Source organism: Homo sapiens, chromosome 8, assembly GCF_000001405.40.
Source record: "Homo sapiens chromosome 8, GRCh38.p14 Primary Assembly".
NCBI classification, from domain to species: domain Eukaryota; kingdom Metazoa; phylum Chordata; class Mammalia; order Primates; family Hominidae; genus Homo; species Homo sapiens.
In genome coordinates this window covers 75,530,982-75,543,800 of record NC_000008.11, presented here as the reverse complement: position 1 = coordinate 75,543,800, position 12,819 = coordinate 75,530,982, and the positions used below count along the sequence as shown (strand labels likewise).

The 12,819-nt window shown below is 32.9% G+C and overlaps 1 protein-coding gene across 9 annotated transcripts in view; it reads right to left on the bottom strand.

Annotated features, from left to right (window-relative positions):
* Nucleotides 1-12,819, bottom strand: part of HNF4G (hepatocyte nuclear factor 4 gamma) — a 159,186-nt gene that overhangs the window by 23,034 nt on the left and 123,333 nt on the right. Inside the window, exon 1 of one of the 9 annotated variants that reach the window (NM_004133.5) lies at nt 3,721-3,932. The exons of the other annotated variants lie outside the window; for them this stretch is intronic. Coding sequence (NP_004124.5) covers nt 3,721-3,838 — 118 coding nt within the window. The 5' untranslated portion in view covers nt 3,839-3,932. Of the gene's footprint in view, nt 1-3,720; nt 3,933-12,819 lie in introns of those variants that run through there. 9 annotated transcript variants of the gene reach the window in all.

Genomic DNA, 12,819 nt, shown 5'->3' with positions numbered 1-12,819 from the left:
AAAAGGAAGATTACAGTTAGAGTTAGTACTATTTCCTGACTAAATTGTCCTACTAATTATTTATAGGCTCATAACACTCCATTCATTGGCTTCTTGGAGACCCCACACTGGTGCTTTCCTTTTAACCCCTGGCTGGCTGCTTCCGTTCTAAGCTCTCCTTTCTTATTTCTGAACATTTAACTTTGGGACACCATAGGGCTTAGTTCTCCAACTATGCTCTTTCCCAAGGGAAGTTTATCAGTTCCATGACAATAAATATTAGCTGTAGGATGAATAATTCCAATATTTTATCTCTAGCCCCGATGTCTCCCATGGGCATCAACATGAAATGCCCAAGCACCTATTGAAGAACTTCATTGTGAAATCTAATCAGAATTGTAAATTAACATATCAAAAACAAAAGTCTTTCATTTTTCCCCTAGAACTTGTTCTTCCTTCCTTCAGTCTCCCCTGTATCAGTCAATGGATCCATCCAGTTTCCCAGGGCCAATAATCTGTGAGTCTTTATTGTATTCTCTCCTTTATCTTTTATAACCAATCCCTTGGTAAGTCCATGTTTACAATACTTTTTATTTATTTATTTACTTAATTTTTTGAGCCTGAGTTCCCCCTGTTGCTCAGGCTAGAGAGTAGTGGTGCGATCTCGGCTCACTGCAACCTCTGCCTCCCAGGTTCAAGTGATTCCCATGCCTCAGCCTCCTGAGTAGCTGAGATTACAGACGTGTGTCACCATGCCAGGCTTATTTTTGTATTTTTAGTAGAGACGGGGTTTCACCATGTTGGCCAGGCTGTTCTTGAACCCCTGACCTCAGGCGGTCTGCCCACCTCAGCAGGCGGTCTGCCCACCTATAATCCCAAAGTGCTGAAATTATAGGCGTGAGCCACTGCGCCTGGCCTGAAATACATATTTAATTCACAACTTTTCACTATGGACATCCTTATTCAATCAACCATCATCTTTCCTCTAGATTATGGCAACAGCCTGCTATCTAAGTTCTTTCCTTCCATTCTTGCTGCCCTACTGTTTGTTACCTCAAAGCCACCTAAGTGATATTGCTGTAGTAATTCATATCATGTCACCCTCTGCATCCAACCCTGTCGTAACCAGATACAGAATAATGTCTAGGCATCTTCCCACAGCCTGTAAACCCTGCATGTCAAACCCCCGTAAAACTCCCCGAAATCTCTGATCCCAGTATCTGGTACCACTTTTCATTCAGTTCACTATTCTCCAGCAATACCGTCTTTTTTTTTTTTTTTTTTTTCGTCGTCATTGAAGGCTACTCTCATCTCAGAACTTGTTCACCTGCTGTTCCTTCTGTCTGGAAAGAAAGTTCCTCCCTAAACGTTTCTTTGAGCTAGCTACCAGGTTTCTGTTAAAGTCTCACATTTTGTGTGAAACCTTCTCTGAACACACATTTAAAAATGTCACCTCCCATCTGTCCTTCAAGTAGAACCTAGACCCCTGCTTATTTTAAGTATTATTATTATTTTTTGAGTCAGGGACTTGCTTTGTCACCCAGGCTGGACTGCAGTGGTGCAGTCCTAGCTCACTGCAACCTGGACCTCCTGAGCTCAAGCAATCCTCCCACCTCAGCCTCCCGAGTAGTTGGGGCTACAGGAGTACATCACCACATCCAGCTAGTTTTTATTTTTTTTTATTGTAGAGACAAGGTCTCACTATGTTGCCCAGGTTGGTCTTAAACTCTTGGGCTCAAGCGATCCTCCTGCCTTAGCCTCCCAAAGTGCTGGGACTATAGGTGTGAGCCACCACACCTGGCCTTAGCTTTTTAAATGGCCTTAGTTTTTTATATAACTTTATTAGTGAAAAGTATATTCTGCATTGGTCTGCTCATTTATTACCCATCTTTACACACAGAATATAAGCCCCATGTTGGTAGAGAATTTATCTGTCTTATTTAGTCCTCTGTTTTCCAGCTTTTAGGATTATGCCCAGGATACAGTGGGTCATCTAATACATAATTCTGAAGGAATAATTATTTTTTAAATGTAGATATTTATAATAAAATGAATATTTCTTAAATGAGTTAATATTGTGGATTACATCTTGAAAAATCTATATGCATTCAAAAGATATTAAATATATGTAATAAAACTTCATTATAAAATTGTATATTAACAACTGATTATTGTATAGCTAACAAAAGGATAATACTAAAGGTTGTCATGTCCTGATTATATTTTGTAACTTACATATATTCTACTTACTAATATTTCTGAGTAGACAAATATTGTCATATATAATTTCATGAAGTAGAAAAAAATTTTAATGAGAATATGCTTAGGGTTAGTCATGTGACATAGGATTAAAATGCTAAACATTTTTCTTCTGGTAACATTAACAAAACAGATATTGACAATATGAAAGTTAGAACTGTTTGGAATTGATTGTATTCTGAGAGACTATATAGAAATATGAAAAATTCAACTCTTGCTTCAAGTTTAGTGCCATACTTACATATTGCTGACAACATTATTACAAACAAACAAGTTACACCATACTTTGGATATAGCCATACAAAATCGTTATTTCAGTACATTTGTTAAACACTTATAGTAAATAAGTGTTATGATTATGGCAAATATGTCCCTACCATTTCTTAATCATGAGTGTTTTTTAAATTCAGGATTCTGATGAAATACTCTATTAAATATCTCTAGTCAAGTCTAAACATAAGGACACAAAACAGTGATTTCCTGAAAGTTGCACTACAGGTTTATTTTAACTATAGTTGTGCTAAATTTTCAGAATTCACCTTTTGACTATTTTTTAAAATCCCCACTAATAAGGAACTGCTTATTAAAAATAGAACCAGAACACCAGTCATACAAATTATACAATACAGTAGAATAGTAAGATATCCTCAGTACAAGATATATTCTCAATCTTGCATTAAACACACACACACACACACACACACACACACATACACATTTTCCAAAGTATACATAATTACTCGATCTTAGGAGTTCTAACAGTTATAACATATTTTAAACAAGATTTTTTTTACCGGGTATTAAGTCTAAATTCAAAGTCAATAGTAAGCTGTATTACATAAAGACACTACCCCTAAAAAACTCATGTCTTATTTAAAGTTAAAATGTTACAGTAATTAAATACCAACAGCTTTGTGCGGCTAAACATTAGCCTGTCAGGTGAGGTTATAATACAAGCCTTATTCCCTTTCATATTTGCGTTCAATGCAAAAACCTGATAGTAATTTTAAATGTAGTTTCTCATCACTAGCAATTGAGAACTGGAATTATAAGGAAAAGGGTAGACAATCAGTGAAACTCCCTAATGTTCTATGGAAACTTTGTTCCATAAGTCATTTTAAATATTGCTTAGAAAATATACTTTCACAGCCAATCTGCCAATATGACATATTACTATGATTTACAGCAAATAAAATAACAGCTGAGACTACTCTTTTTACCTGTCTAACTGGCCCATGACAGAATTCTGACATTACTTTATTACACAAAACCAGGCTTTTTCTACCTCTAACACAAAATAGCCACAGCATTATTAACTTAAATTTTGTAATGAAGTGCAAAAGCTCAGATCTGTGGCCTTAAAAGCAAGCCCTAAACTCTCCAGCAAAAAAAACATTGAGCCACCACCTTTGGAAGCTCAGTCTTCCACCTTCTCCAATTATACTTACTTTTCTTTACATCTATAAACAGATGATAACTCACCACTTGAATTATATAGAATCTGCATAGTTTCAAACTCCAAAGTTGTGTAAGTTGGGTCCAAAACTTCACTGTAATTTGCCATGTCCATGTCCAGTATTGGTTCTGATACCCTCATCATTGATTTAGAAACACACATACAAGTGGCACCACAAGCCCAGAGTGCGTGATGAGTGTTTTGATGTGTTTTGCTTTCAATCTGTGAGTGCTAATCCAAAGTTAACTGTAACTGAGTGACTTAAGAGCTGCAATGGGAGGGGCTGTAAAACTGTAACCTTCTTCAGCAGGCCATATTCTGCTTATTTCTTCTTTTATGGCATATGAAAGCAATTCCTTGTGATAATCTTGGAATGCTTCATGGAATAGCCTTATCTGAAGTGCTTAGTGGACTAACATGATTTCCTAAATTGATTTCCAGTAGACAATAAATGAGATCATTAAGAGAAGGATTAAAAATAGAAAAGAAAATCTCATAGGTTTTAAACTGTAATAATAATGTGAGGTATCCCATTTAAGGAGCTGAAATCACATACCTCATATTCTGAAAAATGGGACTTACTTTACTGCTATAAATTTGGTAAATCAAGTCTGTAAGTTAACATTTCACATAAACACTTTACAATTTCAAGTTTTCTTAAATGTACAATAAAGCTACCTTTATTTTGGAGTAAAGCAAATTTTGTAATTTGAAATGTGGGGAGTTATGACATATCCTGACAGCCCCCTAGGCGTAACCCTTATATGGCCTTTAACAATATTCTCTTTAATTATCTATTTATAGGCCTGTGTCCCAGCTATGCTAATAAACTTCCCAAGGGCAGAACCAGTACAGCTGCTAGTACATGGGAGGCATTTCAATAATTGTTACATGTATAATGTTTCATTTCTTTTGAATTCTGATGTCATTAAACTGAAATAAAATTATCCCTAACGTGTAGATCTACATATTCCTATCATCAATCCTCATCTATATAGCACAGTACATCTTCTGTGTGTATATTTGACAAGGAACATCTAGGGTTTGGGGAATATTTAGACAATAGTTCTCAATCAATATATTTTACTTCTGAAAATATGTTTATTGATTCTATTTTCCAAGAAAGAATTCCAGCCCCATTTACATTATAAATTCAGAATGTCCTTTTCCACATTTGTTAAAGATTGCAGAAAAGTAATATTTCTTAACACCACAAACCTTATGAATACTCTGTCTTAGAAACTATTGTACTTTTCACCCGGGAAGGCTGGCCTCTTAAAGTACTCTAAACCATGTGACAAACTGTAAAGAAAATAGCTTAGAGTCAATTTAGCAGCCAGATTCACTAAATCAAACAGTGATCATTGGAATAGTCCTCTTGCCCTCATATTCTGTATACTCTTAATTGTGAAGATAATATGTTGGAATAAACTTTCTTTTTTGGCTTTCTTTAATGAAGACTAGACATAGGTTATTCAGTTTTTAGAGAAGTAGACAGAAGTGGTTTTTATTTGCGTGAAGTAGTCCTTATTTTAAATGAGTTAACAAACATTTCTTTTCTATAGGAACCAAAGGGATGAATTGTGCAGAGCCCACAAACTTTCTAATCTATGAAATAACTAACCAATACAGAGGGATGTCACTGACGGGAGTGTCCCAACAGAAGAAAAAGTAAAAAAGAAAAAGATAGGAAAAGCTCATTTATACATCTGGAAAACACTAAAAGAAATGTGGCTGTAGCTCAGGAGAACAATGCTGTCATAGTTTTATCCTTCTACCCTAGTCTGTTCCCGCGGGTGACAGTACCGGATCCAGGCATTTGACTCTAAGGTGAAAGGGGCTACAGATGGATCTAAGCACAGATCTTCAAGTAGCAATTAGCAACTAATCAGAGTTGGCATTCAAGAAGAAACCTGTGCCCCATGCATGTTAGTTTATGTTATTTTCTTCATTTCATAGAGTAAGAACTCAAGAATTTCCAGAAGATATGGTAGATTTGAATAGCAAGCATATCTCCTCAAGTGGGTAGTCTTTGTAATGATATTCAGATGTAGAAACACCCACGGAATTCAGTCAGCCTCAGCCTAGCAAAAGAAGCGGTTTCTTTAGCTTTTCTCTGAAGGAGAGTACAAAGTACAGTGGAAGCCCTCTTTTCTTAAATTCTAGGACTCATAATTTACCCAACTGATTAAGCAAATAAAATAATTAAAACAGAAAGTCATAAAAAGATATATCTTTACTTCATCTTATTTTACATAGGGGGATATGGATGCTACTGTTTGTAAAACCAAGACCTTTTCATTGAGTAAGAATGCACTGATTGGGGTTCTTTACTAAATTTTTTTTCATAAGTCTCATACATTGCCTTTGATTTCTAGTTTTTTATTTTTTAATGGAGAAAAAAGTTAAAGCAACCCATAAGGCAATCCAAAGCAAAAATTCTAGAACCCTTCTAGAATTTTAGTTTTTCAAAATATTGTCTAAACTTTAGTCGATTTGCTTTTATCTACTTCCACAGTATTTCCCTTGGTTTTTATAGTGGAGGAAAAAAAAAGTCTTTTAGCCAGGCACGGTAGCTCACGCCTGTAATCCCAGCACTTTGGTAGGCCAAGGCAAGTAGATTGCTTGAGCCCAGGAGTTTGAGACCAGCCACAGCAACATGGCAAAACGCTATCTCTACTAAAAATACAAAAAAACTAGACAGGCGTGGTGGCATGCGCTTATAATCCCAACTACTCAGGAGGCTGAGGCAGGAGAATCATTTGAACCTGGAAGGTGGAGGTTGCAGTGAGCCAAGATCATGCCACTGCAGTCCAGCCAGGAGGACAGAGTGAGAGTTTGTTTCAAAAAAATAAAATAAAATAAAATAAAATAAAAGCCTTTTAATGCTCATGTTGCATTAGATAGCACAATTTTTAACGAAATTGTGAAATGAAATAACAAGAACAAATGGCAGTCATACACTAGGTAACAAATCCAAATGACTCTTGATAAGTGCATAAAATTGGTAAGATGTGCCTACCCTGAAAACTAATTAGTATGATCTACAAAGGAAATTGAGTACTTTAGTTAATCCCAGGTTTTGGCTACATGGAGATTACAGGCTCTCTTATATTGATTTTAACTTGAGATAACTTGTGTTTATAAATTAATTTACATTCCTCTTTATAACCAATCTTCCTCTCTACTTCTAAAACTAGTTAAGCTACATTCAGAATATTTTTATTTATTTAAAGAGGAGAAGGGAGAATGAAGAGGGTGGATGAGAAAGAAAAAAAAAGCCACAGAGAAACAATTTAAGTTACAGTTAATTTTAGGTTTTTAGTTATGCATCATAATCAAAACAAACAGCATACTCTTAATACTAATTCTTTGTGTTTCCCATTCATTCGTGATTGTGGTGTTTTTATAACTCAATAAACATGTCTATGGCACAATTAAAAAATGAAATTATTAAATTAAGTTGCATAAACCTTAGATACATGAAACAGTTACCGGTTTTTTTTATATATATTCACATTAAAATTCAGTTATTTTCAGCAAGGGGACTGATGGATATTAGCCAAGCAGCCTTTCATGATGGCTTCATCAAGTACTTTACATGGGTAAATTCATTAAGGCTACATTAGATTAAGAACTTAAGTAGTTAAAAATAAAACTATATTAATTTTATGCCTAAGTGATAGTAGAAGAAAATTATCCTTAAATAAATAAGACCTATGTTATTAAACCCTACATTCAACAGAAATTTATGAGTGCTTTTAAGTTTACTTCTAAAGGTTAAATTGGGAAGCACATCATTTATACATAGCAATACATAAAACAGTAATTTATAATAAGTAGCACACATTTTCTAAAGATATATAAATTTAATCTGTATCAAAAAATATAAATATATGATGAACTATGAACTACTGAAAATCTCTCTTAACATTGCTTTCCAGTATCTGTTCTCTAAACTGAGCAAAACATTACTTTTACTTAGTGAAATCTCATGTTTTGTAGGCTAAGATGTTCCATCTTAGCTCTAGTTAGGTCAAACACTCCAGAGAGAATGACAACATTATTTGTAGATAAAAGGTTAATTTTAAATAGCACAACTAATTGTCTTGAAAAATGTTTCTCCCAAGCAACTGGCATGTGAAATATTTAAATTTCTTTAGAGCAACATAACAAGCAGTGAAAACAGCATGATGTTTAAAGAAGACAACCCAATCCACTATTGATTCTTCAAGATAATAGCAGAAACATTTCTATCTTATCTGGAAGACCATTAAGTCATTTAAATTGTTCCATACTTTATATTTGATTTAATCATTCTTACACAGCGTGATTTAAAATAGAAAGCAAGCTAATAAAATAAGGGTTATTTCCATAAAATAATTTTCATGAAAATAATTTGGAATGCTAATAACAATATAAAAACATTTTACTGTAAAATAGAGTTAAGAAAATTTGTTTTTTAAACTTATTTCTTTGAGATTATTTTTCACTAGCAAAAGCACTACATATCAATCTCCAAAGCACATCTATAGTTCTTGTTGTTTTCATATTCTACTTTTCAAGTATGAAGATTACACAAATGAGATCACTAAAAGCTAAATGAAGAAGAATAACAATCTAAATCAACCCAGTGTATTTTTCAGTGTAAGCAGGAAACCATTAAGTGAAGAACTCTACCCAACATAAATGACTTTTTAATTCAAAGCAAAGCCACCTTTTGTTTCTCAAAAAGGATCTCAATTAAAAAAAAATCATATTTCCTTGCTGCCACTGTCCTAATCTAACCATTCTTCCTCTTTTGAAATAGAAATCTTGTATTTTCTTCTTCCTAATTTTGATGGGGGAAAACAAGTAAATTCACAAATTACAACAAACAAAGATGGGTATTTTAATATTTAAGGCAAGTCACTACCATGTATATACAAAGAAGTTTGAAATTGCCTCTTATGATGGGATTCTATTTCCAAAGAGCTTTATACATTTTTTTCCTAAAGCCCAGATTATGTGTAATTTTTAGATAAACAAAAATTATTTTTTCTTATCTCTTTCCTTTGTTGTTCAGTTTAGATCTATGCAATCGCATTAACTCATTAACACATTTAAACCGAAGTTATTATAACATGTAAAAATTCTAATTTTGATATTATTTTTGAAACATGTTCCTGTCCTCGATTTGTTGAAAATTTTAAAAATTTAAACTGAACTTCTATAGCTTTGCTTACATAGTTTTATTATAATAATACAGCTTTGCTTACAGTTTTATATATAATAAAATTCTATAGCTCATTTCTCAATTCATGTTGAATTTCAATTCACAAAATGTAGTCCAAGGAACCAATTTTAAATCTTTATCACATCACTACTAAAAAATGCCATTTGACAGTAAAATCTAAAGAAAGTTGACAGAAATACATAAGCACCTTGTGAAATAGCAGAATTTGTTTAGAAAGATGCTACTATATTCTTTCTAGTATTTATGGTTTACCTGAACTATTTATATTTATTTTATTTGCATATTAAAACACTACGTTATTTAAAACTAGTTATACAAATAAATGTAAAGTCCAAAACTAAGGAAGAGTAAAAACTATCGTTATTAAATCAGTTACTGTTAGGATAGACAAAATGATGATTGCACAGCTCTGAGCTAAATGTAACCAAGAAAATGCTCTGAGTAAAAAAAGCTTAGAGGTGATATAAGAAATCTGCATATATTAAACCTACCTTCAAGGTCAGCTGCCTTATGATTCAAAGCAGACTCTCCTTTTCAGAAGATAAGGAGCTGATTAGCATTAAATTATTAACTGGAATGTAGATTATACTGGTAAGGAAACTGAAGTGTGGATATAAGGAACATGTTAGGATTTGACAGTCACTATTTCTGCATTTCGTTTTTACAATGGGTATTATCATTGTTGCTACTGCAAACTCAGCAAAGCTAGTCAGAATATTTAAGATTGTGGTGGCATTTTGAAACCAAAATTGCTGTATTATGCAAAATGAAGGGAAGGAAGTTATCAGTTTGGGCCAGTACCTATTGCAAATCTGTTCTGAAGAGGTATAATGTTTAAGAAAAATAGCAGCAGTTTCACTATGCTGAGTGCAATTTAGACTTGAACATTTTAATGAACTATAATGTACTATAATGAACATACACTTTAGCATCTGGAAACCAGATAAATAAATAAACATATAAATAAGAGAGTTTCTCCATATAAAATACAATAATAGATTATATGTTCAGTCAAGTAGTCAAGAACTGCTCAAAATTCCTCTTTAAAGCTTTCTTAGATACATATGGAGAATAACATTTTAATGTGATATTTGATTGAGATAAAAGTAAACAATATTTGCATCTCCATTTAATAGAGGTAGGTGTATAACTGGCTCAACTGAAATGTTAAATATTTCACCTCCTTTTTGATAAATGTATTTTTAGAAAATAGTGTTGGTTGGTTTCTCAAAAATACCATAAGGAACTTTTTTTTGGTTCAAGAATATAGGACATAATTAAAATAATATTAATAGTAAACATATGAATATAATATGAACTAAACACAGTGGGTAAAGTGGTGGCTTTTGTAACACAATCTATTATCACTCTCAAGTAAGAAACCTGGAATTGTTTAATGCCAACTTGTATATTAGGCCAATGATTCAAAAATTCTGGTGCACATTACAATTATCTGGAGAACTTTTGAAGAACCCCCAAGGTTCAAGTTGCATCAGACACGAATTAAATCAGAAAGTCTGGAGGTAGAAGCTGGTATCAGTGTTTTAAAAACTCTTTAGGTGATTCCAATGTGCAGCAAAATCTGAGAACTACTGCTTTAAGAAGCAAGTTCTATGAAGGCAAAGACCTTCTATTTTCTATTTACTATTTTGTCTGCAGTTCCTAGAATACTGTATGTCACCCAGGAAATGCTCCACAAATACTTACTGAAAGTGTGAATAAAATACATATGCAAATAATAAACTTTGAAGTGTATAGCATTTACACTGAGTACATGAGTACATTTTATGTGTCAAATGCTTTTCTAGTGACTGGGTATTTCTACATGAAAAAATAGAGAAAAATCCCTGCCCTCATGGAGCTTATAATCAAGTAATCATGATAAAATAATGATCATGATGATAATGATGAAGACTTATATCTGTATAAAGAGACAAATAGCTGAACCATTGTTTTTCTACAGGATCCATGAAGCTGGACTGAGAAATAGAGTTATTATCCTACACATTTAGACTTCTGCAACAGAACAAATTTATTGGTTTGCAGCTAGAGGTGTAGCCCTGATACTGTCTGACTCTTGAATGCCTGTCATAATTTACACTGTAGTTTAGTCATGGGTATTTCAGTGGGAAGTTGCAAAATATACATATAGGATTACTAGCCTGGGGCTAGTCTAAATAGGAAGAAAATCTTATTCCATTTTTGATACAGTCTCCTGTATATGATTGCATATGTGCCTCATGTTACCAATGCTGACTTTCCAGAGCACAAAGAACATTCTTCTCTTACCCCATTCACTTCCACTCTAGGTGTAAATTTAAGAGGTAATGTTTGGGAAGCATGATTCAATGTGGTATAAAAAGTAAGCACTGGAATAGAAGGTGCCCACATAAATATAATTTTAAAAATATACCAAAACTCAACATTGAACATATTTCTAAATGGCGATGTATTAAGATCATTTCCCTTAATCTAGAACTACTACAAGAGTATGCAATGTCACCAGTATTAATCATTATTATTTTTTATGTTCTAGTATTTACAATAGGGAAAGAAAAAATAATTGGTATAAATCTTCGAAAATGATATGAAAATAACATTTTAGAAAATAATCAGCCAGAAATGAAAACAATAATTAAGATTCAATTTCTTATATGTAAAAACTAGTATTATAAAAATAACTCTTCTCTCAAAATAACATGTGCAGTTCCAAGTACAAAGACAGCTACAGGAAGAATTTATTTATTTATTTTTGATGAGGTAGAGGGGTTTTTAGATGTTATGACTTCAAACTCATATTAAAGAATAAAAATTTTAAAATAGCCAAAAGTTATAAATGAAAGAATAGTGAAGATGATCTTATCTGATATGCAAACATAATATAAAGCCATTATAATAAAAACAGAATAGTTGTGTTTAAGAATAAATAGTATCCGGAGATAAAAGAGAAATTCCAATTTATTTGGTGTATATGGCCAATGAATACAGTTGTCTTTTAGTATCCATATGGGGCAGTTTCAGTAACCCTGTGGATACCAAAATCCTCAGATGCTCATTTTGTATAAAATGGCATAGTATTTGCATATAATCTATGCACATCCTTTTGTATACTTCAAATTATCTTTAGAGTACCTAATACAATGTAGATGCTACATAGTCATCATAATTATTTATTTGTATTATTTTATTATTTTTCATTTATTTATTTTTGAAAATATCTTCAGTCTGTGGTGAAATCTGTGATTATGAAACCCATAGATATGAAGGGCTGACTGTATAATATAAAAGTGTTTAAGTTCAGTGTGAAAAAGGGATATTTCATCCAAATAATTATTTTGATATTTTATTATCCTAGACAAAGGTAAGTTGGACTCATACTGCACCACAGAGAAAAATACTTAGATAGTGGAAAGATAAGATGCCAAAGTCCTTTAACCTCTATATTTTGTAAATGTAATTTTTATCAATTCTAACCTCTTGTATTGAAATGCTAAATTTGACTGTTGATACTTGGAATTGAGTTTTACCATATGTCTAGGAATGCATCTTTTAATTTTATTTTTTCATAATCCTTCATGGAACTTGATGAGCTCTTTCTATCTGTACTTAACATTTCTTCATCAAGAGAGAATTCTTCTATTACATTTTTATAGCTTGTTTTTTCTTTATTCCTTTACTACAAAATTTTTCATTATTCAAATGTTATATTTCTCTAGAATTTCTATCTCAAAGGGTTCTTGTAACGATTAACTAAGTTAAAAACAAAAAGCACATTGAGGCCGGGCATGGTGGCTCACACCTGTAATCCCAGCACCTTGGGAGGCCAAGGCGGATGGATCACCTGAGGTCAGGAGTTCGAGACCAGCCTGCACAACATGGTGAAACCCTG